We start from the raw sequence: 26,743 nt of genomic DNA on the forward strand, positions 1-26,743 counted from the left end.
CCTTAAATTATCTTCTTGTGTATTTTCCATTAAATTTTATAACCGAGAGATAATTTGTATTGAGTCTGTCCTCCTTTTAAGACACCAGAATGTTTGTCTCGGCAGTTTCAAACTCATGACATTAACAGAAGACATAAAGAAAGGTCTTTTGATGACAAAATAATTAAAGTTATTTATTCATCAATAAGATTTCTTCACCGGGTTCCTTGATTTCTTCACCGGGTAACCGACTCATCGTTTTCATGCATCTCATTATCTGAGCCTATGGAAATGATATCCGTCATTATCTTAGATTCTGATGTTCTTGTGCCTGATCTTCTCATATCTGAAGAAGTGGTACCCAAAAATGTGCTGCTCTCTGCACTCTTGGAAAAGGATGTATCTGAAACACCTTCTGATGGATGAAAGTAAGACATCGTGGCCAGCTCTGGGTTGACAGAGTACTGACTCTCACAACTTTTATAACTGAAGAAGAAAAGAACATATATCAAGAATTGTTTTTAATTGTGTACATTTGTAACTCAGCTTAGAAAAGCATTCAAAAATTAAAATATACGAATTTTGCCCAAAGTGTTAGTTACTTAGTAACATTATGTGAATGATATATAGTTTTTCTTTTCTTTTCCTTTTTTTTTTTTTTTTTTTTTTTTTTTTTGAGACAGAATCTCACTCTATCTCCAGGCTGGAGTGCAGTGGCGCAATCTCGGCTCACTGCAACCTCCGCCTCCCAGGGGCACGCGATTCTCCTGCCTCAGCCTCCCGAGTAGCTGGGACTACAGGCATGCGCCACTATGCCCAGCTAATTTTTGTATTTTTAGTAGAGACGGGGTTTCACCATGTTGGCCATGATGGTCTTGATTTCTTGACCTCGTGATCCACCTGCCTTGGCCTCCCAAAGTTCTGGGATTACAGGTGTGAGCCACCACGCCCGGCCTAGTTTTTCTTTCATTGTAATTTGATTCTATGTAACACTTTGAAGCATGTTTCAAATCTCTACTAGAATTTATAAACCAATTTACTAAAACAGTAGAAGTTGCCTTAATAAAATTTAATAAGAAACATGTACAATGAAATTGAATGATGGGGAATAAATACCTAGGATCACAGTTTTAATGGACCACAGAAATACACCATTCGTCAAAAACAGCACAATGAAAAGAATGGAATTAATGATCATTATGAACATTAAGCAATTCTGTTAGGATTTTTGAAGGTAATCTGTTACACTGCCTGAAAAATGTTAAATAATTCCTTCAATCAGGCTTGAGTTGAATTTAATATTTTTATAAGAAAGAGCCTCTGGACAGGTCTCACAATGTAAAGGTGATAGAGATTGGCTGTTTTTTCAAAGTCTCAAGGCTTGCTTGAATAAAAAACATTAGATGCTAAGCAGATATGCTATTCAGAACAAAATATATTTGCTCCAGGGCTATATAAAAAAGAGCATATCTAGATTCGCTTTATCCTTTCCAATTGACTAAGGTTATTTCTATCTCTGGATGACTACTGGGAAAAAGTTCAAGTAGGATATTCCCTTAAAGACAGTCCCGTGCTCCATCCGAATAGGGTAAATGGAATCAATTTGAATGTCGTATGGATGAATTCAGAGGTCACATATTCCTAAGAATCTACTAAAGAGAGGAGGGAGAGAATGCGATGTCATGCATTTGTTGTAAAGACTGCAGAGGTCTGCAGACTTACCTCAGATGCCTCAGTTTGTACAGTGTAGCACTACAGAATGCCAAGAGGACCACAAAGAGGAGGAGGGTCATCAACGAGATTCCCAGCATTATTTTGATCTTCAGATCCTCTAGATCTGGCTGATTTTCTCCCTGTGTAGCATTCACATCAGACTCTGAAAAGAAAGAGAATGCAGTGGAAAATAGGGTGTTCAGTGTGTTCTCCTGAAGGAGTAAAGATTGCAAAGCAAATACAGAGAAGCAAGCCCTCCACCATCCAGAGTATTAACTGGCCGGTCTCCCATCCCGCAGGCAATGCAAAGGAGAAAGCTACTCTCTAAAGCCAAGCACTATTAACTTGCCTCTTTAACCTTCACAGCAACCCCGAAGGAGCTGTCCTTAGCTCCATTTTACAGTATCACAGAAGTTTCTGTGTTTGCGCATAGCACATAGTAAGTGGCAAAAGCTGGTTGCAAATCCGGGTTACCAGATGTCAAAATGCATATATAGCAGACTTTCTCTGATTTAATCTACCATGTCTGAAGAGATTATTATTCAAAACGATTGACTTACACACAAGGGACCAGTCTTTCAGGAGGTAAAGGTGCATGCTCTAGTGCTGCGTCATACACTGATTTTTCTTTTAAGCTAAAAGGGTGGTATAGTGAATGCTTCCTCCATGAAGCTTAAGGGCTAGTTTTGCCATTTTATTACTGAAAAGACTAAACCTAGTGTACTTCACATTACAAAAATAAATAGAATCAATTTATTTAACTTTCTAAAATAAGTTAAATATAAGATTATGTCTGGATCCAGAGATATCAAGAGTCTTTTTTTAACTAAATCTATTAATGAAATGATAGGTTTACTGCCAAATTTTACATTTTCCTGAATATATATCTGACTTAATAAACATTTAATGATGGCAACATGTTATTTCTCCCCTTTACCCCAGCCAACCCCCAGCATCTGCCAACTCAAAAGTTCCAAGGGTTTTCACTATTTTCTAGGTAATGATATTTAGGTGATAAGCAATGACAAGCTTCCATGTCTATATTCTCTGATTTTAAAAAATTATAATTGTCAGTGTGTGACCTTAGACTATGAAAATGTATACAGTTGTCAATGACTCTTTTAATGCTTCGAGGCCTGTTATTTTGGGAATAATTAAACAAATTACGTTAAAATGGGCTGTGCTCCTGAATTGCTTTTCTGTCTCCTGAAAGGGTTTTTAATAAAGATGTGTGCTCATAGTACATCTTCTTTATCTAGGTGATGGTCAGAACTAGAGAAGGGTTTGGAATTCGTAATCACTGGAAGTGACAGAAAAGCTAGTTACAAGCGTGGGCAGCTTTTCTCTCTAAGCCTCAGTTTTCTCAACTGTAAAATGAAGATAATACCAACTTCATGGAGTTGCTGTGAAGACTAACATAATAATGTATCTACAACACCTAACACGTAGTATGTGCTCAATAAACAATAAAATCAGTCAAGCTGAATTTAATCACTTAAATATTAAATAGGAGAAATGACACAGTATTTATAAAATGAGCCAGCATTTGTCATTCCTGTTTATAACTTTTCTAAACAAAGAAGGATCACTCAATTTTCTTTTCTTTTCTTTTTTTGAGATGGAGTCTTGCTCTGTCACCCAGGCTAGAGTGCAGTGTGCAGTGGCACAATCTTAGCTCACTGCAACCTCTGCCTCCCGGGTTCAAGTGATTCTCTTGCCTCAGCCTCCTGAGTAGCTGGGATTACAGGTACCCAACACCACGCCTGGCTAATTTTTTGGTATTTTTAACAGAGACGGGGTTTCACCATGTTGGCCAGGCTTGTCTCGAACTCCTGACCTCAGGTGATCTGCCTGCCTCAGCCTCCCAAAGTGCTGGGATTACAGTACCCAGACAAATGACTCAATTTTCTTGAAGCGCCACAAGGCAAATGGCCACACTTATCAATCCAGTGCACAAATGAGGGGACAGGTCTTAGATATATCATCATGCTATTTTTCAACCATTTATTTGTAGGACAGAGGTTTTTTTTGGGGAAATTAATGTGGTTCTTTCATGAAATTTTCCATTCAAATTAGGAGTTTTACCTCTATTAGTATAATTAAGCCATTAAGGAAAACTCTATCCAGCAACAGGAGCTCACATTGATTGCTGGTGAGAATTCCAAAAATACTTTGGAAGATAGTTTGGTAGTTTCTTACAAAGATAACCACTCTCATCTTCCCACCTTGCCCTCCCAAAGTGCTAGGATTACAGGCAAGCCACCCACTGCACATGAACATACTCTTACCATATGATCCAGAAATCATATTCATAGGTATTTACCAAAATGAGTCGAAAACTTATGTACACACAAAACCCTGCACACAAGTGTTTACAATAGCTTTTTTCATAATTGCCAAAAATTGGAGGCAACCAAGATGTCATTCAGTAGAAGAATGAACTAGGGTGCATTCATACAATGGAATATCAGTAATAAAAATAAATGAGCTCTCAAGCCACAAGAAAACATGGAGGAATCTTAAATGCATATTGCTGAGTGAAAGAAGCTAGTCTGAAAAGGTTACATACTGTATGACTCCAACTATATGACATTCTAGAAAAGGCAAAACTATAGCGATAGTAAAAAGATCAGTGGTTTTCAGGGGTTCAGGAGGAGAGAGGAACAAAGGGATGAATTGATGGGGCAGAGGAGATTTTAGGGCAGTGAAACTTTCGTATGATACTGGGATGGTAGACACGTGATATTATGCATTTGTCAAAACCCAAAGACCTGTATAATACAGAGTGAATCCTGATGTAAATTATGGACTTCAATTAATAATGAATCACTATTATTGGTTCATAAATTGTAACAAAGGTACCACATCATGCAAGACATAGGGGAAACTGAGGAGGGTGAAATATGGAAATTCTGTACGTTCTGCCAAATTTTTCTTTAAACCCAAAACTGCTCTAAAAATAAAGTCTATTTTGAAAAAAGACTGCATTCTACATATTATTCACTCACCTCCTCCATTTGGTTTCAGGAATAAATGTTACAAAACAGGAAGGTGGTAATGGTCATGTGGGAGGTATAACTAAAAAAGAATGCTTGGGAACTATAACTCTCCTGAACAGTGAATGTCCTCTCTGAGATGTTAGTCACCTTTCATACGCCAGACTTCACTAGGAAAAATATTATCATCATAAAGACACTAAGATGTGTAAGAGTATTTATGTGTCTATTAGTTGAAGTACTTTGGTTCATTTGTTGAGACAGGGTCTCACTCTGTCGCTCAGGCTGGAGTACAATGACATGCCACCGTGCCCACCTAATTTTTGTATTTTTTGTAGAGAAAAGGTTTTTGTCATGTTGCCCAGGCTGGTCTCGAACTCCTGGACTCAAGCGATCCACCTGCCTCAGCCTCCCAAAGTGCTGGGATTATAGGCATTAGCCACTGCACCCAGTCAATTGAAATATTTTGTTCTTACCTGGAATTGGGTGAAATAATTGATCTTTATCATCCATGACCACTGCTGTTCCATTTATAGCTGTTAAAACAAATTGGGGTTATGGTAAACAACGTTCACTTACTAAAATTATTGCCTGTGTATGTATGTGTATGTATAATTATAGTACCCAGTGTGTGTACAGTCTGTTCTCATTATTCGTGGCAGTTATATTCTATAAAGTCTTATAAACACTGTATTAACGAATACTGAACTGTTGCTCCCAGGGTAAATACAGGGTTAGATTCCTGCAAGTCTGGTCACAGCATTTTCATCAACTGATAAATAAATAACCTTGTTTTATGTGTGTTTCTGTTAAAAGATACTTCACTTAATACATATTGTTGATTCATTAACACTGAACTCATAGAAAACAGCACTATAACACTTGCCTGAATGAAGCTTCTCTAACACATATTATCTCCATAAGGAACATCACAGCCTTCTTGCACTTAGGAACAATAACCAGCAATTTAACACTACATTTGGGGGCCATTTTAAACAGCAAAATCATCAACAAAAAAGCACAAAAAATGCAAAAAACGTGGCATTAAGTGGGCTGCAAAAATGACACTTATTTACAGAACGAGAGCTGAATAAAGAAGGCAGAATATTGCCTTGTTCTACTTCAGCTGGGAATGTGTGTGTCAGACAATCAAAAATTTTCAAAGCTCTGCCAATGTCCATAAATGACTGTGAAGGTGTTGCAACTACTGATTTTGGGGTGACAAAGAAATATTAATGAGTAGGTGATACAGAATGCAAACACAGAATATGCAAATAATGATCAACTGAATATGGTATATATTTCACATATACAATGCATATATTTCTGTGTGATACATGCATTACCTTTATACATGTGTACATCCATATATGCACATGCATTTATACACACACGCATAGAAATACTATGTACATCATGCTATACATGCATGCTTACATATTTATGAGACACACTTTTATGCATGCATATATTTTGGTATACACTTTGCATTTATATATGCATCTGTGTGCTTTTGCATGCACTGCTCCAAATACAAAGATGAATGATATTGAGCAAGAATCTTATTGAAAAATTTTAACCATAAATAAATTGAATAACATTTAACATTTGTAAGAGAATAAAACTTTTGTAAAGAGTGAGTAATCAGAAAATGTGTGACACTTTATCACCTTTCTAGGTTTGTTTTGAAGTTTGCTATTACATGTGGCAACAAAATGTTGACTTATTGTCTCAGTATTAGAGGTATTTAGACTGATCTTAGCTCTAAGTAAGATTTTAGAAAACCAAAATGTTTCCCAAGCTACCTAGCTGTATGACTTTACCTTTAGCTAACATTGTCCAAAATGCAGGCACGTTTGGGGTTGATCCTGTTAAAACAAAACAAAACACAACAAGAACAACAAGAAAACAACAGGATAACAAAATAATTTAGTTTGAGGAACATTCGTTTGTTAGTCATTTAGCAGTTAAACTTTGAGCTCCTATAATGTGTCAGACCTGTGGTTGGCACTAACTTATAGAAGTAAACAAGGCTCAGACATTACAGTCAAGGAACCCACCTTAATTTTGGCTGCAGACAAGAATCATTGCTGCTTATGTAGCAGATTAATGAAGGCGTTAATGGAAATGCACAGGTGGTATGCACAGGGTTTAATTTAACTTCTTAAGGCCAGAAACCCTTCAAAAGGGAGATGATGTTCCAATATAAGCTTAGAGAACTAGCAATAGTTCACCAGGCAAACAAGGTGAGAGCGAGCTCATTCCAGCCGTGAGCAAACGCACAATCGTAAGCAGGCTCAGTAAGCTCTGGGAGCTTCAGGTAAGTCTTGAGTGAAGGGTGTGGATGCAGAACGTAACCAGAGTTGAGAGTGGAAAATTTTCACAGTGGCCAGATTGTTTCGGAATTGAATGCTTGGTTAAGGAGTTAAAACTTGACCTCAAACTTAGTAGTAAGTTACTAAAGACGTTTAAGAAGGGGAATACCAGGATGATCAGGTTTTCATTTTAAAACACATCAAAAAAGATTTTTTTCAGTAGTGTTAAAAATGCAAACTAATTCAGAATAATTACATTAGAAACATACTTGGATTGCATAAACTGGAGAAAATAGGGTTTCATGTAACGACACGTAAGTATCCATTCTCTTCAATTAGGCCGCTTATTCAAGACCTTAGAGGAGAGCCATCCTGGGTTGTTATGGCTCCACACATATTTTATAAGGAACAATATTCTTGACAGGGAAGTAAAATGGTAATTTTGATTTTGCAGCCTCCCACTCCCAACCTCAAATAATCATAGGAAACACTAATAATTGACCCTAACCAGAGATAAGTTTATTCCTCAAGCAGGCAGAATATTTTCCATTATTAGCAAAATAAATTATATTTCAAATACATTCGACATATATTTATAAATATATACTAATTTGTAAGTACGTATTTAATATAGACACAAATGTAACACATTTTTATTAAAATAAAGTTCTATTTCTACAAAAGCTCATTTCTCATCCTTTGTCAGGTATACCTGAAGACTGACTGTTAGACATTCACCATTTAAAAGATTTTAGTGACTTTAAAAGGTAGCAGTATAAATTCTTTAAGCATGCTATGGCTTTATGTAATGCTCAGAGTAGTGAAACTTAAATTTTTAAGTCACATAATGATATTCTCCAGGTATGAATACAGTGTAGTAATTTAAATACTTTGAATATTTTTATGAGAGGGTTCGCTAGTAGTTGTTTCTTCTTCAATGGTGGATTTTTCATATGTAGTTGCATTGACAGTTTTATCTAGGAAAAGGGAAAAAGAATTATCAGCATGTAAAAATACTGACGAAACATCTGAGAATAGATATTTTTTAATATCTATTAAATGGATATTATGGAACAAAGAAAAGGAGAGAGAAGAAACGGAAGAGAAAGACATTAACATTTTCCAGAAATAAAGGAGAAAGAAGAAGGTATTGAAGAATAAAGTTTTTGTGATCATGGGGTGTCTGAGGTGGGATTAACATGACTATAATTTGTGAAAGAGAGGCAAAGGAACATGCGGCCCCGGGCTTTCTTCAGAGGTAAAGAAGATCTCTTGGAGAAGATAATTGGCTCCAGATGGTTCCCTGCACAGGCGGTGAAATGATCCTCTTTGTCCAGAGCAGCTTGGCTGCTGTTCAGTGTAACGACGCAAGAAAGGGAGGCTGAGTATTAAGTGTGTTTGTAAATTGGAAACAGACATTTGGATATAAAGATTTTGGACTACAAATCAAGGGTTTTCAGGTCTAATTTAGTATATATCTCAGTCTGTAATGGGTCCCTCTAGAGGAATGTCACTAAGGGAGTGTTTGGTAACAACTGTGACTGGAAGACCCTTTCTTCAAGTTGATGGCCATTTCAATTAACTGCTTAATACAGGAGTCAATAAAGTTCCATACGGAGTACAGGGCACCCTCTATAGGAGGACTTCTACAGAGGGGCAGAAAAAATTCACACCAAGCCCACAAACCCATGACAAGTGTCTTGCTGCCAAGGAAAGTTGGGAAAGGGAATCAGTTACTGGAGTTGATAGTGATTCAAGCAGAACTCGAAAAGTGAGTAAGTCATCCTTAAATTCTGCTTTGCAACCCTTATCCTCTGGAGAAAAGCATCTAGATTGCCTCAGTTTTTCCCCCTTGCCTTCAGAGTTTTAGGGACTATACTTAAGCAAGCAACCCTTAGTCAAAGTTATCCGCAGATCTCCATCTTCCTGGGGGCTTGCTCCTCTAGAACGTCCCTACCATGCCAGCAGGTCTCCTTCTGTCAGAGCCCCGTTTAAAATGGCAGGAATGTCTTATTCCAATCCCACTTTCCCTGACAATCCTCTGGGGGCCTGAATTGTGGAAATAAAAGTGAGGGTTTCGCAGTCTCTTCCTTGGGTCCTGCAGTCTGTACTCAATAACTCATATCCTAAGGGAATTTGAGGTAGCTGGTACACTTAAGAGCTGCCTCTTCATGTCTTGTCCCAGACAACTCAAGATGTTGTTTGTTGTGGATAAGCAAGATTCCCGTAAGTGATTTACTGAATTAATATAAGCCCTTGGAATGTTACTGTCTCATTTAAATCCCAAGGTTTGAAATTGCTCAAAATATTCCATTATTATCAAGTAGCTTTGTTAATAATTAGGCATTCCTGAGTCTCACATTTCTCAATATTGACATTGCCATAGCTAGAAACATTCTCTCTTCCCCATTTAAAGCTGAAGACAAAAATCAGAAAGGCAAAAAAACGTGGGTTTAAGAAAGATGTAAATTTTCCTAGAATCCTAAATGTAGTTATCATTTAATTTTTCTTTCCACATAAACCATATGTATGAGGTTTAGAAATGCAAGAACCTCCCCAGCTTCTGAAATTATCAGTGTAATGGATGTGGAGTCTCAGGTGTATTTGTGTGGGAGGAAGTGTGAGAAAAGCAGAGAGGATGGCCAAGAACTAAGCTGGATCCCAGTCACAGAATCTACTTTAGAGGGAAAATGTTAGTCTTATTTAGGAACGAAGACTTCTTTTCTCCCCAACAGTCTCTTATTGCTGTTTTGAAATCCTGCTTTAATGGCTTTTACATGTGCAATGGTGCCTTTCACTTCTTACCGTTTTTTAGAGCAAAATTCAGGTCAGTTGTGGCTCTCACAGATATTTCAGACTCAGTGCCATTTGGATTTTGTGTTGTGAACACATCTAAAAACAAAAGCGAAAGTCTTCAGCAACTAGCTAAGTCACTTTTTTTCCTTTACCTTTTTCTTCCTCTGAGTTTTTTTCTTAAAACATGCACTAATTAAAAAAAAATTAAAAAAGTTATAGTCATTTTTTTTTCATCTACAAAATAAGAAAGTGGGGCAAGGGTCAAATCTAAAACTCATTGAAAAAAGCCAAACTAGTATCTTTATGCCAAATGACCCTTTCCAAGAAGCAATTTTTGGAGAAATTTGTGGAAAAAAATATGTAAGCACATAACAGGTGCTGAAGTAGATTTGTAGATGTGCAACATTATCACTGTTTGTATTGACATTATCAAAAAACCGGGTAAGAAGCATTTACCTGCCCTTGAACCTTCTGTTAGACTATGGAATGAACACTTCAGCTTAAAAAGCATATCATTTGATAACAATTAAGGTCCCTCACATATACTCAAATTTACACATGCACATAAAGAATGCTGCTCTTAAGACTCATTAGTGGAGTTGGCTGCAATTCAAAACTAATGTATATATTCCCCCCGCCAAAGGATCAAAGTGAATTGGATCAAGACGGCAGACTGGACATGCACATGTGTCTCCTCTCTCCAAAATTTCATAAGATGATACAAAATTCTATACACACACGAATGTATGTGTATTTAATATTTACATATGTATTCATTTCTCTCTTTGTGAGAACAAAGAAATTCACCCCAGTGTGTATATGAGAAGAATGTACATGGGAAAAACTGCACATAGACTAAATGTTCTCCCACAAGATAACAGATAAATTATGGACGACACACATAAAAACGGTACCATTAATATTTCATCGTTTTTGAGCAATTCCTGAGACAGAGCTATGGAAAAATAAAACAAAGTCACAACCCAACACTCATGCCATGAGTTATGAAAGTATAAAAGTTGAAACACTGGTATCTTTCTAGGGACAGACAGTTTAAAAAAACAAGTATAACAATTGGCCTAATTTCATCTTAGAGTTTGGTTAATTAAATATAAGTTTCACATCAGTAGGGACTTGGTGTTAGACACTTGGCTATCATCCTTGAAAAACATAATGTTTTATCCCTACTTTATGCCATACACAAAAATAATTGGATTTAAAGCTCAAGTTAAAAACAAAAACATAGGCCGGGTGCAGTGGCTCACGCCTGTAATCCCAGCACTTTGGGAGGCCGAGGCGGGCGGATCACGAGGTCAGGAGATCGAGACCATCCTGGCTAACACTGTGAAACCCGTCTCTACTAAAAATACAAAAAATTAGCCGGGCGTGGTGGCGGGCGCCTGTAGTCCCAGCTACTCAGGAGGCTGAGGCAGGAGAATGGTGTGAACCCGGGAGGCGGAACTTGGAGCGAGCAGAGATTGCGCCACTGCACTCCAGCCTGGGCGACAGCGCGAGACTCCGTCTCAAAAAAAAAAAAAAAAAAAAAAACAACGATAAAATTACTTTTAAAATTCAAGAAAACAATATTTTGGACTGGATAAAGCCTGCTTAGGCAAGACACAAAATGCAGAGATTATAAAGAAATAAATAAACAGAACTGATATTATAAAACTTGAAATCTTCTCAGTTATTAAAGATACTTAAACAGGCTTGGCCAGGTGTGGTGGCTCGCACCTGTAATCCTAGCACTTTGGGAGGGTGAGATGGGTGAATCGCTTGAGCCCAGGAGTTGGAGACCAGCCTGGGCAACATGATGAAACACCGTTTCTACAAAAAAAATACAAAAATTAGCTTGGTGTGATGGCATGTGCCTATAGTTCCAGCTACTCGGAAGGCTGAGGTGGTAGGACTGCTTGAACCCTGGGAGGTCAAGGCTGGCTGCAGTGAGCCATGGTCGTGCCACTGCACTCCAGCCTGGGTGACAGAGCAAGACTCTGTCTCAAAAACTGAATACGATACAATAAAATAAAATAAGCCTTAAAGATAAGCAGCATCTTGGCAGAAAACATTTATTACTTTTACCGTAAAAAGGATTAATATATTCTACATAAAAAGAGCCCTTAAAAAGAAATGAAAATACAACCTAATGGAAAAATGGGCAAGGGTATGAACAGGCAGGTCACAGAAGTAGAAATAAAATACCCAACAAATACAGGGGGAAATGATGGAAATTTAAAAAGGACACTTAAGTGAAACCAGGATAATCAACTTTTGCATATACATTTCTATTCACTTTAAAGACTTACATTGTTTTATATCTTTATAATAATTGCCATTTTTCTCATTAGCAGGAGCATAATTGGGAGTATGATCTTCATTCTTTTCTTCCTGCTTATTAACATCTTCATTTAAAGGTAGCACATTAGGCAATGCTAAAAAAAAGTATCACACACCATAGATCAGAAATATGTTGATTTCTTTTACTGCTTTCTTTTTCTAACTGCATTTTTTTCACAAAGGATTAGAGGCAGAGATTTAAAATCTAAAACATACCATAGCTCCAACAATAAAGTTTATATCCTCCTGTAGAAAACTGCCACATACCAATTTTTCATGATTATGGGTCATCCTTCTTACCTACTATTTTTATAAAAGTTTTAAATGCTCTCTCACCTTCAATAGTAGGCTTCAAAGTGCTACTTTTTAAGGAAAAAACTCCAGGTATAAAAATAAACAATATAAAATTCATTGGGAAATTGAAGTGATTTATCCAGTAATCTAGTGCGTCTACCCAGAGCCTCCTTTCTGTGGCCCAGCAGGTCCTGTGTCTAACTAGGACATTATGACATCACTGTCAGATGGGCATCAGAATGTTGGTGGGGGTGGGGGTTCCCAACAGCTTTGTGACTCAGTCTGAAGACTGCTTTATCTCAGGTACTATAATGGTTTTTAGTTATTTTTTAAATAAACCATTACAAGATTTTCTTTGAAAGTTAATAAGTGTGTTTTCATAAAAGAATGTTAATTACTCGGCTCTGGATTTTAAAGAACCATTTGTAGAGCACTCGATTCTGTGGCTAGTCAGGGTGCCACTTGTAACCCGCACGGACCTAGGGGACTGAACAAAGGGGGACGAATGCGGGAATAAAAGACAAAGACAAAAGAGTATATTTGGAAGAAGGGGTCGGGGGCACCTTGCCTCTAGTGGGCAAGGGCCCTGAGCTTTACACAGCCCTCTGTATTTATTAGGCAAGAGAGATAGTGAGAAGGAGGATGGAAGAAGGGGTCAGCTGCCCGGTCCAGAGTAGGCATGCAACACTGCATTCTCTAGATGTCGCAGTAGATAACCTCGGTGCCAGGGAGTGATTGCCTCCAGCAAACCTTCTGTGGGCAGGAGCAGTCGTGAGTTTGCCCACATCCTGCATTCATAATAAACAGTTTGCTGTTTGATCATATAGCCTCCAGTGGAATGCTGAGTGGCTCACGTCCCACGAGCCTTCGGCTCCCTGCAACCATTAATATTGTTAAGAGTAAAATGAGAACAGATCTTTTTGTTTCTCAAAGCATTGCAATATGATGTGTTTTCTTGGATAAATGCAATAAAAATATCTTTTAAAAACTAGTCAGAGGCTGGACGCAGTGGCTCACACCTGTAATCCCAGCACTTTGGGAGGCTGAGGTGGGCAGATCACTTGAGGTCAGGAGTTCAAGACCACCCTGGGCAACATGGTGAAACCTCATCTCTACTAAAAATACAAAAGTTAGCCAGGCGTGGTGGCCCACGTGCTTGAACATGGGAGGCAGAGTTTGCAGCGAGCCGAGATCACACCACTGCACTCCAGCCTGGGTGAAGAAGTGAGTCTCTGTCTCCAAAAAAAAAAACAAAAAACAAAAAACAAAACAAAAAAAACAACTAGGCAGAAAAACCAAGTTCTGATGCCAAATGCCCTACAAGTCTACAAGTTCTGGTTAATGGATTATCTTAACTATAATTCTTTAGAAAAGTTCTCTAAAACTGGTCATTTTTAGATTTTAAGGCCTATATTATATAAATAATTAATAATAACATATTATATATTAGTTATATAAATATATTATATATTTTATAAAATATATAATTATATAATATATAAAATATAGGTCTTATATGTATTTATATTTCATATGGCTTTTGGGGTCCAAGTGGTTCTTGGTTGCATTGATGAATTGTATAGTGGTGAAAGCTGAGATTTTAGTCTGCCCATCACCCGGTAGTGTATATTGAACCCAACATATAGTTTTTTATCCCTCACCCAGCTCCCTTCTTCCCCCCTTCTGAGTCTCCAATGTCCATTATACCACTCTGTATGCTTTTGTGTACCCATAGCTTAGCTCGCACTTATAAGTGAGAGCATGTGGTATTTGTTTTTCCATCCCTGAGTTATTTCACTTAAAAGAATGGCCTCCAACTCCATCCAATTTGCTGCAAAAGACATTATTTTTTTCTTTTTTATGGCTGAATAGTATTCCATGGTGTATATATACCATATTTTCTTTCTCCACCCATCAGTTAATGGGCACTTAAGTTGGTTCCATATCTTTGCAATTGTGAATTGTGCTGGGATAAACATATGTGTGTAGGTGTCTTTTTGATATAATTACTTTTTTTCCTTTGGGTAGATACCCAGTAGTGGGATTGCAAAGGGTAGATCTACTTTTAATTCTTTAAGAAATCTCCATACTGCTTTCTATAGGTGTTGTACTAATTTTTATTCCCACCAACAGTGTATAAGCATTCCCTTTTCACCAATATCCATGGCAACATCTATTTTTTTTTTAAATTTTTAGTAATGGCCATTCTGGCTGGGATAAGGTGGTATCTCATGTGGCTTTAATTTGCAGTTCCCTGATGATTAGTGATGTTGAGCATTTTTTCATGGTTTTTGGCCATAAAACCTATTTTTTTCATAAAATATAAAACTTTTTTTGTTTAAAATATTTTTATCATGAAACTCATCTTTTACTTTACATACAAGTGGAGAAAATAATCTAATATTTAATTAGTTAGAAGAGGACTTAAGTATAGGCAATATTATCCATTATTAGTTATACAATAACTCAAGTAATAAGAAATAAAGACAAATCAAATAGGCAGCATTTCTCTTCCTGATAGGATCACCTAACTTCCCCACTCTCAAATGTAATTATTGTTGATGACAGCTTCTCAACATTAGAGAATATCCATAGTCAAGATGACATATTACTTCAAGAAAAAAAAGCATGACTTTAAAAAGACTTGATAATCTTTTTAGGGTAATGAATGCTCACAAATTAAGTCCAACTTGTGACTCCCTACTGAACACACCTGGTGAACTGGAGATAGATTCACCAGGAGTCTAATTGCATAGGAGGAGGAAGGAAATTGGGAAGATTTATCCTCAGGGAAAAGATGGTCAGGCAAGCAAAGCTTAGCATCAAAGCTTTAGTCAGCCAAAGGGAAGTGGTCCTGTGTAGAGCTGTTTTTCTTCCTTAGCTTATTCTCAAGTGAAAGCTGAGAAGCGAAAAAAAGAGATATGAGTAAAGAGCTGGCAGGCCTTGGGAGCCCTTTACTTTGTTATCTCTCTAACAGGGTGACACATAGAAAAGGAGAGAGACTTGAAGCAAGCATGCTCCATGTTGCTGCAAACCACCTTAGAGCTTTGAATGACATAGCTCAGCCCTGGTGAAACTCGGAAGAAGTTGTTCCAGGAGGAAGATGGCATCAATGGAATTTCCCCTGTCCCTGGCAATAAAGGGGAAGTCAGTGCTAGCTGGAGAAACATGTTTACTACTGTGTGCCCCAAAGCTGGCACACTGTGTGGCCCATAACAGGTGCTTGATGAATGAGGGAATAAAACACTTTATTTAGTTCAGGAAGCACTTAAGTGCCAAAAAGTCAACTTAGCATTTTCTAATGACATGAATGGAATTTTCTTTATCATATAGCTTCTCCACTGAGTCCTCCTATATTCAAAAGATTGTTAGTTTTTAATGTGACTAATGCTCTTCCTAGGTAATTGAATTGGTAGAGTACAGATATTGTAGGCTTTATAAAAAAAGCATTAGATTTAATGAAACTAAGTTTGTTTAAAAATTGACTTTAGGCCAGGTGTGGTGGTTTGTGCCTATAATCTCAGCACTTTGGGAGGTCAAGGTAGGGGGATCACTTGAGCCCAGGAGTTTGAGACTAGCCTGGGTAACATAGCGAGACCTATTGCTCCAAAAAAGAAAAAAAAAAAAATGATGTTAACCTTTCTTTGTCCTATGATCAGTATTCTTTTTAGAACATATTTTCAGAGGTGTTATGGGTTGAACTGTATGCCCCCAAATTTCACATGTTGAAGTGTTAATCCCCAGAACCTCAAAATGTGACCACGTTTGGAGATAGAGTTGTTGCAGATATAATTAGTTAAGAAGAGGTCATACTGGAGTAGGATGAAACCCCAACACAACATGACTGGTGTTTTTATGAAAAGGAGGAGAATTGGACACAGAGACACACAGAAAAAATACTATGTGGAGATGAAGGGAGAGATCAGGGAGGTACAGCAGAAGCCATGGAACATCAAAGATTGCCAGCAAACCACCAGAAGCTAGGAAAAAGGCATGGAACAGATTCTCCCTCATGCCCCTCAGGAGGAGCCAATCCTGCCAATATATTAATCTAGGACTTGTAACCTCGAGAACTGTGACACTATAAATTTGTTGTTTAAGCTACTCAGTTTGTGGTACTCGTTTCTGGTTACAGCAGCCCTAGCAAATGTATAGAATAGACAAATAGAAGAGATTATGCAAACTAAAATTGAACGTGTCCTCTCTGGAGGTTATAATTTTGGGCTGTAATGTAGCCCTTCCATAAATGTAGATGTTCTATAACACAATCTAGTATAAATTTTTCTTTAAAATAATCAAGTGTATATTATTTTCTCTACATAATGTCATATTTTAAGTCTTTAAAGAAGACCCTGAAAGGCATCTCTTGCTAATACCAAGAATGTCATTAAATATACTTTGTACTCTGTGACTTTATTTCCTGAATGATTTCATGTTTATTGACCACATCTGGATTACAAGCCCTTTCCCATTTCTGTGTCTTTTCTCTCAACAGCACTAAGCCTAGAGTAGGAGGCCATATATTTGGATATTAGCTCCATCACTTCTTAGCTGTATGATCATGGGCAAATCATCTCTTCTCTGACCCTGAACTTTCACTCATCTGAAAAATGGGAAAATTAAGTTTCACAGCCAGTACTATTTAAGACCCATTTATTGGGCTGAACTTGTTTACTTTACAGATTTATATACATAATTTTTCCTCAGGTCTAAAAGAATTAGATGTGGTGAGGTTTTCATATACCCATATTTTTTCAAGAGGCAGAGTACACCAGTATCCTATTGGGTAGGTCATATAAGTAGTATAGAGAATGAAGTTGAAGACATACACATACTAAGAAACAAGACAATTTTTTTTTTTTTTTTTTTTTTACACAAAGTCTCACTCTGTCGCCCAGGCAGGTGTACAGTGGTGCAATCTCGGCTCACTGCAACCTCTGCCTCCAGGGTTCAAGCAATTCTTGTGCCTCAGCCTCCCGAGTAGCTAGGATTATAGGCGCCCACCACCATGCCCAGCTAATTTTTGTATTTTTAGTAGAGACGGGGTTTCACCATTTTGGCCAGGCTGGTCTCAAATTCCTGACCTCAGGTGATCTGCCTGCCTCGGCCTCCCAAAGCACTAGGATCACAGGCATGAGCCACCGCATCCATAAATAACACAATTTTATATAATGGCCTAAAACATATTTTTAAAGAATATTAAGAATGTTAATTGAGTCATCCCAGTCTTCGAGAGAATTCATTAAATGGAGATAAATTCCACAAGGTATAAATTAGTTGTCACAGTCCATTAATATAAGCCCAAAAACTGTGCTTAAAAAATTAATTTGAATATTATTTTCCTTAAATCTGAGTAGTAAGTTTACATAGTGCATAAAAGAAAATAAATGATTAGCTACATCATTCAGAAGAATTGCCCTGCTGAGCCCTGCCTGAATTCATGACCCACAAAAGCATGAGATATGTTAAAGTGGGTATTGCTTTAAGTCGCCAAGTTTCAGCATACTTTGCAATGCAGCAATAAATAGCTGGAACACTTTGGAAACTTACATTCAGACAAATCACCTTCTGCCACATCCTTCCATCCTGGCAGCTCTCTACTCTGGATACACCTGACATCCTTGTTCTTCAATCCCTTAGATGTCTCACATTTCCTGACCTCTTCACTCACTCATCATCCAGCAGCCCCCATCTCTCTTTACTTTTTTAATATCCAACTCAGATTCGATGAGTATTATTCTAATTAAGAACTCACTACGGCCGGGCGCGGTGGCTCAAGCCTGTAATCCCAGCACTTAGAGAGGCCGAAGCGGGCGGATCGCAGGTCAGGAGATAGAGACCATCCTGGCTAACACAGTGAAATCCTGTCTCTACTAAAAATACAAAGAAAAAAAAAATTAGCCAGGCATGGTGGCGGGCGCCTGTAGTCCCAACTACTTGGGAGGCTGAGGCAGGAGAATGGCGTGAACTCGGGAGGCGGAGCTTGCAGTGAGCCGAGATCGCACCACTGCACTCCAGCCTGGGAGACAGAGCGAGACTCCGTCTCAAAACAAAACAAAACAAAACAAAACAAAACAAAACAAAACAAACGCATTGTGTAGTTCTAGGTACGGAGCAGCTAATTGTTCCTCTAGAGATATTTAGACAGAAACACAGACTGTGGCTTGCACACAAACAATCTCTATTGCTGCCTGACTTCCTCGTGAGACCACCCATTGGAGAGAAAAGGAAGGATCCTGAGCCAAAGAAGAGACTTTAATGGTTCCAGTTTCTCCGTATTCTAAGCAGGTTGGGCAAGAAGAGAGAGAAGTGGGTGTGGAGAAGTCTCACGGCCTGAAGAAAAGAGAGTCATTTCTCCTCTATTGGGGGAGTTGCAGGAGTTATCATCAAGTCACCTCGGGGGCAGCGGCAACAGCACAGGCTGGGTGTGTGTCTCTCTCTGCCCTCCCTCTTCTGGGGCTGGCTGACTCATTGCCGGGTCAGGCGACAGGGGCTGGGATGCAGGATCACACTGAGAATGACCAGGCATTTAAGGGCTGGACTGCACAAGCAAATCAAGTGCTTCCAGGCACTCAGAATGCCCCAGGGAGAAGACAACAGCAACAAACAACAAAAATAGTTCCCTGTTCCTTAAACAGCAAATACCTATTTCAAACAACTGTATTACAACCAAATAGCGTCAGCCAGTGTTCCCTCTAAGACACAGAAGCTTTAGGGGAACCTAAAGGACTTTTATTTTAGTTTTACCTTTTCTACTCTTTAGGTGTTAAAATGTTTTCTTCTATGGGATAAGGGTGGTAATAGACAGTTGCATCTATAAATCACTTTTCTTTAATTTTAAACTTTCTAGCCCACAGAATTAAAAAATCTAGAAGCCCATGAAAGAAAGGACTGTTGGTCATTTTCTTTTTTCTATTTGTTTTTTGAAACAGAGTCTCACTCTGTCACCCAGGCTAAAGTGCAGCCGCGTGATCTTGGCTTACTGCAACCTCTGCCTCCCCAGTCCAAGCAATTTTCCTGCCTTAGCCTCCCCAGTAGCTGGGATTACAGGCGCCCACCACCATGCACGGCTAATTTTTGTATTTTTACAACAGGGTTTCACCACGTTAGCCAGGCTGGCCTCGAACTCCTAACCTCAGGTAATCCGCCTGCCTCGGCCTCCCAGAGTGCTGGGATAACAGGCGTGAATCACCATGCCTGGCCCTGTTGGTCATTTTTCATAACCTATGAAAAGCCTGACTTGGGTCTCTCTGGAGGGAGGAGTTTAGGTTATTCAGGTAGGGATGGGCTGCCATTGAAGGATTCCGAGGAAGAATGGGGAAGGAAAAGTGTCATCACCAGGTCTTGGATTTAGAAAGAGCAGTCTGGTTTCAGTTTGTGAAAACTAGAAGGTGAGAGAAGGAGCCTAGAGATTTGTAGAGTAATGGGCAGGAGGTAAAGGAGAGGCCATGAAAATAAATGCAGAGATCATGAAAATGCAGAAAGGGAGACTGTTTGGCTTTGGTGCTAATTTTCTAAAAATAATTTCGACAAATCTTTCTTCTCAAATGCTGGGGCTAATCAGCTATTTTGTCTTTCCAGAATCTCATTAAAAGAGGGAGTCTGCGTTTCAGGACAATCTTTCTATGAAAGGTAGAGACAAAAAAAGGGGGGGGTGCAATTTATTTTATACTTTTTATAAATAAAAGCCTTTTTCTTCTTCTCTCAGCCAGACTAGTCTGTTTTGGCAAGCTTTCCATTGGCAATTGTTGCTTTCTCCAGTCTGTATTCACTGATTGGCTGCATTTGAACTCTTGTAATTATCAGGTGTCTTCTTTGTGTGAATAGATCCCTGCATCTGGCCCTAATGCAAATCACATCTCTGTAATTACCAGACATGATTGGTATAAGAATGGATGCTGGAAATTTGCACATAAATGGGCAAAATTATTCTTTTCCAAAAGCTTCTAAACCTAGAGATGAGATCAAATACAGACATATTATGCCTCTACTCTACCTGGCTCTGTGCCCTTTTCTGGCTCTTCCCTCATGTGCATATACATAAGCTTCTTCTCTCAACTTTCCAGTCTCCCAGGCTGGAAGATAAAGTATCATAGGTGACTTTTCTTAATCCCTTGCTTCTTACTCCACAGCTAATCAGATGGCTTCCCTTCTTTGAGACATGCTTATATCCACCGCTTCCTTTTCATTACTATTTCTACTAGAGTTAGGTCATTATCTTCTCAGGACATGAAGAGTATACTGTTCTCCTTTCTAGGCCATGTGGTGAAGTTGAGAAGCATGCATTCTAAAGAAAAATAAAATGTAGCTTGACTACAAACACCATTACTTTCTAGTTATACGTGACCATGGCATGATAGTTTAACTTCTCTGATCTTCAGTTTCCTCATCTGTAAAATATGAAATAACAACTAGCTCTTTAAAAGTCTGTTTACCCCTGGAAAAATACCTGTGATGCTTCCTTGAGTGATGAAGCTTAATTTAAGAGGACATTTTTATGGGTTGATAATTGAAGTGATGCTGTTAAGTATATATTGGCAAGTGTCTTAGATTGGGCTCCTCTAGAAGCTGATTCCAAAACTAGGATGTGAGAACCAGTGATTGATTAAGGAAGTGCTCCTATAGGAAGCAAGTAAGGCAGTTGAAGAAGCAGGACAGGGAAAGAGGACACCAAGCAGGAGAGCAGTCTTAGGCAAGGTCTCACAGAGGGGAAATTTAACCTGATCCTTCAAGAAAATTTTGGAGGGAAAGTCATGCCTCGGAATCGCCCCAGCCCAAAGTAAGGGAGCTGAGTCTGTCATCCCATGTTGATGTCAGACAGTGGTTAAGGGCTACCCAGGGGAGTTAAATTTCCAGGTTCCTCTGGGTCTTTCTGTGTGCTATGGGAATCTGAGGGCAGTTCTCCAAGAAAGAGTTCTATGTGCTAGCTTTGGAAGTTAAACAGACTGATGACAGGTGTACCTAAAAATGATAAAGACAGGTTTGGGGAGATGTGGGAAGATGCTGACATCCGCTACAGCCCACCCCTTGTGTTGCTCAGATTCATCAGATCCGCTTGTATCCTGTCACGGATTCTTCAAGATGAATGATGGTTGTAACAACTTCTGGGGAAAAACTTCTAAGAGGAGGGTTATGGGAGAACTACAATTCTCATTGCTGTGGCAGTCCAGAGGCCATAATGAGCATTTATCATCTGTGTCCCCTACAATTGGTTCTAGAAGGTAGCTTCTGATGGTTTAGTCTGCTCAGCTGGGGTCTTGGTTTCTATGACTTAGGCTGCAGTTGTTGTAATTGCTCATTTATAGTTAACATGGAGTTCTGACCAGACTCCTCTCTGCCCCTCTTATGTAGCAGCAACCCTAGCTCCTCAGGATGGTCAGGGTCAATTACCTCTGCCGGTATGGTAACTCTTTTTACCTGCTGGTCTATTAGCATGAAGAGCCCTAAATGACCAGGCAGCATTAACAGCTTTAGGGTTAGTGGGATTCTTCCCATGTTCTGATGGAAATGTCTCCTCCCTGAGAACCAGGGCTTCCACACTCACGAAACATAAAGTTGTGGAACAGAGTTTTTCTGAGCATCTAGTAACCATCCCAGCAGTATATTAAGGCATTAAATCTTATGCCCTGAGAATATGCCCCCACAAATCTACTCTCTTAGCCAGCCAGCCTCATATTCTATCTCCCTTGGTCAAGCACCAGTTTAAGATATATTCCCATGCATGTCCTCCTATTTTTATTGCTCTTTCTTAGCCGAATGGATCATTCCTTCCATATCAGGACCAGTACTTTCCTAATCAGGCCATGCTGAGACTTGACCTGAGTTATTAATCTAGTAGCCAAGGGAGGAGATGACAGCATATCTAAAGAAATCAAGTATCATCTTGCAGGGCATAAAGCCACCTCAGCTGAGACCTCTGCATAGTCTTCAGGGAAGGGGGAAGGTGCTATCTTTTGGTAAAGGGGCAGTGGATACTTCTACAAGGGGGCAGTTGAACAAATCCACCTAGTTATACTTATTCCACATTTCATGATCCACTTCTTCCTTATCAGGGCCTTGATTTTGGTATAAGAGACTTGCCAAGGCTGTAGATTCAGTCTTCTCTGAAGTTTTGCTGACAATCTAGTCCTGGATCTATTCACTAACTACAGGAGATGCAGGTCCCTCTATATGCTGCCATGAAGATTTTGACCTTCAGGTTGGGACTTAAATTGATAACTGGCTGAGCGGAACCTGTCATTTTCCTCTTAATGCATAAAGAACACTCAGCAACTACCAACCGATCCCTGGGTCTTCATACTCACCTTCTCCCCTAAGTCTCTCACAAGCACCAGTGCATCCCTTCTGCCTGCAACTTTTCCAGTTCACCAAGTGAAGTCCTAGCAATGGTCACAGTGTCCTGGGGGTTATCTCCATAACTCTGAGGCTTGTGTGCATCATCTCCCAGAGGTCCCTCATAGGACTGTGCTCCTGTTGTCCACAGCAGGGGATGCTCCTTCCACTGTCACTTCCCCCTTTGCCTCTTGGTGCTTTGGGGGATCATCTCCCAGGAGTAACATCAGTGGATAAAGTCAGTGCCCTGTCTAGATCCCTTTCTACCACTTTGGGGCATCTCCCTATCTCTTCCAGTCTGACCCATTGTGAAGGCTGAAGCAACTCCATCTTGGAAGCTAATCTGCCACTTTGGCTTCTGATTGACCAACATTCTGGAAAGGCCTCTAAAATTTCCAGTTTATCTATTGTTCCTCGTGTAAGAGCAAGTACTTACCATAAATCCTTCCCTTAGGTCAAATAACTTTGATGTTATCATACTTCAATTGTCCTACAAATCTGTGCTGAACCAATTTTCTCCCTGTGGTGTATAAGCCTTTGGTCTTGGGGGTAATGGTGCGGGGATCCACCATCTTGTCTTGCGGTGGCCTGAGACGCAAACATGGCTTCTGTTTGTAAGGCCTTTTAAATGTTTCTTTCTAAGAAACTGTATTTATCAGACTCTTTCTTCAGCCTCTCAGCTTCCTCAGACTTTGGGGTAGGCTTTCATAGGCCTGCCCACTGTGGAACACCTATGTACGAGCTGGGCATCTCCTTGTGTCCAGGCAAGCCCTCAGGTTCATAGTTGCAGATGTTTCTAGTAAAGAGCCTTTTGTACTCACAAGAATGGAGTGTCAAGGGGATAAAAGTGGGGTATGACAGCGTCTGCTACACTCAAGCCCTTAGCTGCTCAGTTACACACACACCCCACATTAAGTTCCCTCTATCCCATCGCTGATTCCTTTTAAAAATTTTACTCAAAATTAAATGTGCATACAATTTAAGGAGACAAGCATCTTAACAAATTTTGCTACCAACAACAGTTGTGTCCCAGGTACCCCTCATTTATATCTTCCAGAAAAATCTTCAGTGCTTCAGCTTATTCTTTGGTTATTTGCATCCAAATCTCTCCTAACACGCCAATATAATAGCTTTGGGCTTTCAGAATTAAGTGATGCCTACTGAATCCCACTATGAAAGAGGAAGACCTAGCTCTCTTTCACAAGACCCACAGTAAGGCCTTCAGGGACCATCCTCATTCATTATCCTGGACCCCATCCTAAAACACAATTACATCATTATTGCAGCTTGATCAGTGTTCAGAGTTTACTTCAGTGCTGTCAAAGACTCTTAAAGGTATTAGCCAATCACAGTTTCTGAAAAGAGACCCACCACATAAGGGCCAGTAGATAAAGTGTAGTCCCTAATGCTGAAGTTGGATCTGGGTCCATATTTGACATATGTCAGCTCTTTATCACACATTCTAGATCCCCTTACTGTTTGCCATCACATCTCCTCATCTAAGGAGAAGGGCTAGGTATAAAAAAGTACTGAGTCAAGTGGAGAAAAGTTCCTTAGTTAAGGGCCCCTGATGAGGAGGCCTACAAATGGTGACACCTGCACTAGGACTGTAAGTATTCATATGCATATAGCCCGCAGGGGATGAATGAGTCCTTGACTGCAACTCCCTCCAGGAAACTGAAAAGCTCTGGCTGTGTGCTAAGTTTGGTGTGAGGGGTGAAGCTTGCCAGGCAAAGCCTTGTAATTACCTATGGTGGGACCTGAAAGATCACACAAAGGACGTGGGCCTGAAACTAAACTCAATTAATTCACTTTGCATTCCATGCAAAGTTGATAGCCAGGAGCACTTCTTGAAAATCTGCGCATTGGGATGCCACTCCCTCCCGCATCACTGTCTTCCAGGGTCACACTGAGTGGAGCAATAGGGAAGCAGTGGAGCTACAAGGAATGTTTGGCTTGCATATTATTGATCTGACCCATCTATGAATGAGGCTTGAATTTTTTTCTCCTTAGTTGTTTGTAGGGAGTCCTGGATAAGATCATAACTGTAAGCTGAGAGAGAGGCATTGGGGCAACATAACTAGGTGACATGGGTCTGGGCCACTGCTTGGTTTAACTTACTTGTGCCACCCAGATCTGCTTGGTTCCAATCCATAATGCATATTTCTTTTGTATTATGGATTGTTCCTGGGCCCATTCATTTTCAAGGGTAAACAGCCCATGGATGAATTGTAATTTCCTCCTGAGGGATATGGACAGGACACCAACAGCATCTATTATTAACTGGGACTTAGAGATGGCAGGTGCTGGTCACTAAAAAAAGTGTATCCTTGAATATCTGTTCATCCCATGTGAATTACTACAGCTCTTTGGTCTGCAGAAGCAGAATATTAGGATTAACAAAGAAGAAAACCACATCTCCATCCTTTCCTTTAGAGTAAACCTAAGATACTAGCACCTAGGAATCTATAAGATTGAAAGGAGTTAATTATGGAAAGTAGTTATCTCAGGGCTCAGCATTCAGTAAATGTCATTTTCCATTAAAAGTGTTGGTGCAGAAAGACAAATACTGCCGATCTCACTTATATGTGGAATCTTAAAAAGTCAAACTCACAGAAGCAGAGAAGAGAATGTTGGTTATCAGGGGCTGGTGGTGGGGGATGGTACTGGGGAGATGCTGGTCAAAGGACACAAAATTTCAGCTAGGGAGAAGAATAAGTTCAAGAGACCTATTTTACGCCACGTTGTGTAGTTAATAATGACATACACTTGAAAATTACTGAGAGAGATTTTTAAGTGTTCTCACTATGAAAAAGTGCTATGTGAGGCAATATACATGTTAATTAGCTTGATTTAGCCATTCTACAATATATACATATTATCATCAAAACATCACATTGTACCCCATAAGTACTACAATTTTATTTGTCAATTAAAAACATTTTTTAAGTTTAAAAAGAAACCAGCTTTACATAAAAAAGAGTGTTAGTGAGTGTTTAACTGGCTGTCTAATTAAAAAAAAAAAACAGAAAGAAAAAGAAAAGTTTTGATCTGTAGCATTTGCCAATTTTCATGTTGTAAGTATCTCCACCATACCTGATTCTGGGCTACCAACATAATGTCACTGAATCCGGAGTTGGGGAAAGATGAGCCAGTAACACAGCATTATATAACATTTCTATCATACACACATAATGGATGTAAATAAGCTTGAGCATAGATAATTGTAAAATAATTAGGAAATGTCAACTTTTGAGTATTTATTACCTGTATTTTAAAATATGCTTTATTTAATTGTATAGTTATATAATTTATTTTTAATAATGGCTGTGTTTAATATCTGGCTTGCAGAATTCTTGCAAATTCATTAATCAGCTCTCAGGATTACAAGCTAGTTCCAGCCTACCATTGTTTCCCAACCTCCTCTAACCTCCCCTGGGGAGATTTTGAGGACTCCTTCAAAGACCTTGTCTTCTGTTACACTCACCAATGCCTGAGGGCAGCTTTTTTAATCTCACTTTTGAGACTGGCGCCCATTTTCTTGTTGCCCTTGGTACACTGTTTAAAACTAGGACAAGGCCCTATTCTGGGCTCACTCCTCTTATCGTTGGACTGTCATTCTGGAGACTTCCCTTTTGTGTACTCTAGAAGCTGTTGCCAACTTTTGTTTTCTGTGCTAAGGTAGAATATTATAATCACATCCCCAGCTTGTGATTATAATAATGGAAAGCAGTGCAAATATTTCTCCTGTCTTAGGACCCCTTATCTGGAGATGCTTTTTTAATAGCGTAAAGCCCTGAAATCATTCACTGACTCTAAGACAAACAGACTCTGAGAGGCCTCCAATACTCCTCTCCTCTGTGTCTGAAAATCACAGAGAGGTAGCCAGCCTTCTCAATACATCCTGAGAAAAACTCCTGTAATTACAATGGTTAGTATTTGGAACTGAACAGTTTGTAAACAGATATCCCTAAAAGCCAA

At 39.2% G+C, this 26,743-nt stretch overlaps 1 protein-coding gene across 3 annotated transcripts, besides 2 other annotated features; it reads right to left on the bottom strand.

The window, feature by feature from the left end:
• Positions 1–146: 146 nt before the first annotated feature.
• EQTN (equatorin) lies at positions 147–12,643 on the bottom strand. 3 transcript variants are annotated; one of them, NM_020641.3, is made up of 8 exons: positions 12,473–12,643; positions 12,106–12,231; positions 9,809–9,895; positions 7,894–7,980; positions 6,512–6,556; positions 5,165–5,224; positions 1,702–1,855; positions 147–465 (listed from the first exon to the last, which is right to left on the bottom strand). In NM_020641.3, the coding sequence occupies exons 1-8, from the start codon at positions 12,546–12,548 to the stop codon at positions 216–218; spliced, it is 885 nt and encodes a 294-aa protein (NP_065692.2). In that variant the 5' UTR covers positions 12,549–12,643; the 3' UTR covers positions 147–215. The 3 variants fall into 3 exon arrangements, with proteins under 3 accessions (NP_065692.2, NP_001155057.1, XP_011516222.1); NM_001161585.2 differs by lacking the exon at positions 7,894–7,980; XM_011517920.2 differs by lacking the exons at positions 7,894–7,980; positions 9,809–9,895; positions 12,106–12,231; positions 12,473–12,643 and adding an exon at positions 6,749–7,887.
• Positions 19,045–19,545: an enhancer, noted in NCBI's record as "H3K27ac hESC enhancer chr9:27303550-27304050 (GRCh37/hg19 assembly coordinates)". NCBI's record gives its function as "activates a minimal SCP1, AML or CMV promoter by ChIP-STARR-seq in naive and primed H9 embryonic stem cells {active_cell/tissue: H9 hESC(naive and primed)}" and the evidence as "EXISTENCE:reporter gene assay evidence [ECO:0000049][PMID:30033119]".
• Positions 19,546–20,046: an enhancer, noted in NCBI's record as "H3K27ac hESC enhancer chr9:27304051-27304551 (GRCh37/hg19 assembly coordinates)". NCBI's record gives its function as "activates a minimal SCP1, AML or CMV promoter by ChIP-STARR-seq in naive and primed H9 embryonic stem cells {active_cell/tissue: H9 hESC(naive and primed)}" and the evidence as "EXISTENCE:reporter gene assay evidence [ECO:0000049][PMID:30033119]".

Source organism: Homo sapiens, chromosome 9 (assembly GCF_000001405.40).
Source record: "Homo sapiens chromosome 9, GRCh38.p14 Primary Assembly".
In the NCBI taxonomy this organism is placed as follows: Eukaryota; Metazoa; Chordata; class Mammalia; order Primates; family Hominidae; genus Homo; species Homo sapiens.